Source organism: Homo sapiens, chromosome 2, assembly GCF_000001405.40.
Source record: "Homo sapiens chromosome 2, GRCh38.p14 Primary Assembly".
Classification (NCBI taxonomy): domain Eukaryota; kingdom Metazoa; phylum Chordata; class Mammalia; order Primates; family Hominidae; genus Homo; species Homo sapiens.
The window spans coordinates 23,498,681-23,501,924 of NC_000002.12; the positions used below are offsets into that span (position 1 = coordinate 23,498,681).

General features: G+C 46.3%; 1 protein-coding gene across 1 annotated transcript in view; it reads left to right on the plus strand.

The window, feature by feature from the left end:
• Positions 1–3,244, plus strand: part of KLHL29 (kelch like family member 29) — a 323,428-nt gene that overhangs the window by 113,502 nt on the left and 206,682 nt on the right. The window lies entirely within an intron of this gene.

Here is a 3,244-nt window from a genome sequence, read left to right on the forward strand (position 1 = left end):
TGTGCTGGCAAGTGCTGTTGAACACTTAGAATGTGGCACGTGTGACTGGGGAACTGAATTGTGAATTCTATTTAAGCTAAATTAATGTTAATTGAAATAGTCACATTGACGAGTAGCTACCATATTGGACAGTGTAACCTTAGAAGATTCAAGGCAGAACCTGGGTGAGGCCGCCCCTATGCCTCCCAAGACTGGGCGACCTGTCACTGTGTCTCTTTCCATTGCTGAAAGTGACAGAGCCTACGGAGCTCTCAGAGAGAAATTATCCTGAAAATCAGACCGAATGGCTGAACGCTTACAGATGTCCCTGCGACCGATCACGTTTCCTTTCGTGGCCATAAGAATTGTATTAAATATTAGGCATAGGAGGAATCTTACCAGGTTTTCCCTAAAGCCCTTTTCTCTCTTGCTGCATGAAGTTTCCTCTCCTGCAGCTGCCTGAGGAAATGGTTTCGCAAGACTTTATTATTTTTGGATTTTTTGGCATACTCACTGAAGCCAGGCCTGGGTACTCAGTTTCCATTTGATTTCTGGCTGCTCAGGGCTCACTCCTCCTGCCCATGCTGGTGGGATTTCTTGTAGGCCAGACAGTGGAATGGTTTAGAGCAGCCCTACCTCTCCCTTCTTTGGGGTGACTGGAGAGGAAATTGAGGGGCCAGCTACCACTGCTTACAGGAAATGGACAGATTAGGGCAACTGGATCAACATTGCATTGAAAATACCTGGCTTCTGTGGGTGTGAGGCAGGACTACCTGAATAGATACTTATGTTCTTGCTCCAGAGCTGTCAGACTCAAGCAGTGGCTGGGCTTTAGGTGACTTGGTGACGTTCCCTGGCTCTAGGGTAGCTATGGAGTAATCGGAATCACCGTCTGATTTCAGCAATTGCACTTCTCAGAGTTGGGCAATGAGGCTAAGGAGAAAAGGGATGGCTGGAACAAGTTTGAGGCGGGAAGAGGAGAAAGGTCTTCAGCCCCTTGGGCACACAGAGACAGCACTGTCGGCCCCCACCCAGAGAAAGTAAAGCATGACTTGGAGATCCAGAGTCTGCCAGACCCCAGGGCAGTCTCTCAGGAGATGAGGGAGGAGTGGGGCGGAACAGCGCAGCTGCTGTGTTTATGACACATCTTCCTCCATGGACTGCTTAGGACGCTTCAACCTTAATATTTGAGGCGCATTCTCTAGAAATAGTCTTTGTCCACTGGCTGAGATGGGTGGGAACAGAGGAGTAGGAGGTGTTGGCTTTTTTTAGGATAGAAGGTTATTGGTTTATTTAAGTGCATTTGCTTTGGTTTTAGCGTTGTGAGGATAATTAATTTACGTATGACCCTCCTTAGACCTGTAAATATGTATTGGTACCAACTGTACAGCAGGCCCTGTGCTGTCCGCCAGCAAGATAACAGTGAATGAAAACATCTCTGCTCTAAAGTAGATATTCTCCCCAGCCCTTCCCAGCATGGTCTGGAAGGGAACAGCAGGATATTCAGACAGTGCCTTAGCAAGGAAGGACACAGTGGTGCGTTCGTGTCAAACACTGGTGTGCAGAAGGTAGGGAGTCCAGGAGGGCTTCATGGAAGAGGGAGACTTGACTGCGCCTTGAGATGTCTGGAAGGAGTACAGAGGGCTCTTCAGGAGTCAGAACAAACAGATAAGTGATCGGAAGCCGTGGAGAAAGTTTAATTGTTAGAATTTCCATTTATTTTGGTGTGTATGTGCTATGTTTAAACCTTAGGAATTTGCATACCACTTGGTATCATTTTATTAGATCCTAGTTTTGTAGGTCTAGAAGTCAAGACCAATGTTAGGAAAACTGCCCTTGATATGTAGAGACACCCACCTGGCCATCTCCTGTCTTCCCCAGCAGAAGGATGGAGAAACAGACAAGCTCCTGATAGCAGTGACATGATGCATATGTGATGGGCAACCAACTGTGACTCTGAAGCCACTTTAAACACTGTTTCTCTGATTTAAAAACCTGTTTGGAGCTTTGGAAGTTGATTTTTAGGTTTATAAAAAAACTGGACTATTTTGAGTTTGGAAACATAATTTACTATTTCCAAGAAAAGAGTTTTAAAAACCGATTACTTTCCCTAACTCCTCATCCCCTTGCGACAATTTATAAAAGAGAAATCAGGATTTCAAATCCTGCACGTGGAGTGAGTAGCTTTTTTGAGTTCAGTTCACGAGGTTGCACTTTGACATGCTTTTTAAGATTTGAATATTTTTATAAATCATGATTATGCTACTGTTTAATGAGAACAAAAGTGGAAATCGCATCTGTTTGTCTGCGGCGGAGCATCTCCCGGCCTGTGTGTGCTGTCTGGGAAAGTGGTGGCCCAGTCTGGAGAGCTGACGAGCAGCTTGATTAGCTGAAATTACTTCCTGCAGTAGTTTGAGGGTGTCAGTCCTGGGATGAACTGGGTCATCTCAGGGATCTGGGACACGGGAGCCACTCTGAGACTCAGGGTGGCTGATGGCCCGGACTCCAATCAGAAATCCCCAACTCTTCCCCGCGTGAACACGTCGGGCAGATTCCCTTCCAGCCCAGGTTGGGATCTCAGGGTCTGTTCCTTGCTAGACCGGGTCCAATTGGTATCAGCCCCCTATTCCTGCTTTGGAATAGGGGGCTGATACAAATTGGATTGAACCTAATTGAGATGCCCTGTAGTGTCAGCTGGTCCCGGGGAAAGAGGCTATACAGGTGCAGGCACGTTCCCTGAGGGTGGGAGATAGCCGCGGCCGAGAGACAGCAGTGGAAATAGACCTATAGCATGGGCATCGAGGACAGGACTTTGGAGTCAAAATGCTTAATTCCATTATCACTCAGCCCGATCATCGATGTTCAGGTTGAAGAGCCTGTGTCAGCAAAAGAGTTGAAGTAATTTGGAGTTCTTTGTTCACTCAGCTTTAGAACGCTGCTGTTTTTTCGTTTTCCTTCAAACTAGTAAAACTAAAAACGTTTCTGATTTTTAACTGTTACTGTTTTTATCTGGAAAACTCATTAATCTAGATTTTGTTACCACTGACAGCCTATAGGTCCCCTCTAAATATTGTTTTTAATGTAACTTCTCTACAACGAAATGCCTGGATCTTTGGCATGCGGTTCAATCAGTTTTGCACTGACAAATGCAGACATCTGTGTAACCCACATTCCTATCAAGTAAAAGAGCATTCCCATCAGCCCAGAAAGCCCCCTCGTGCCCCTTCCCAGGCATCCCCCTGCCTCCAGAAGCAGCCACTGATGG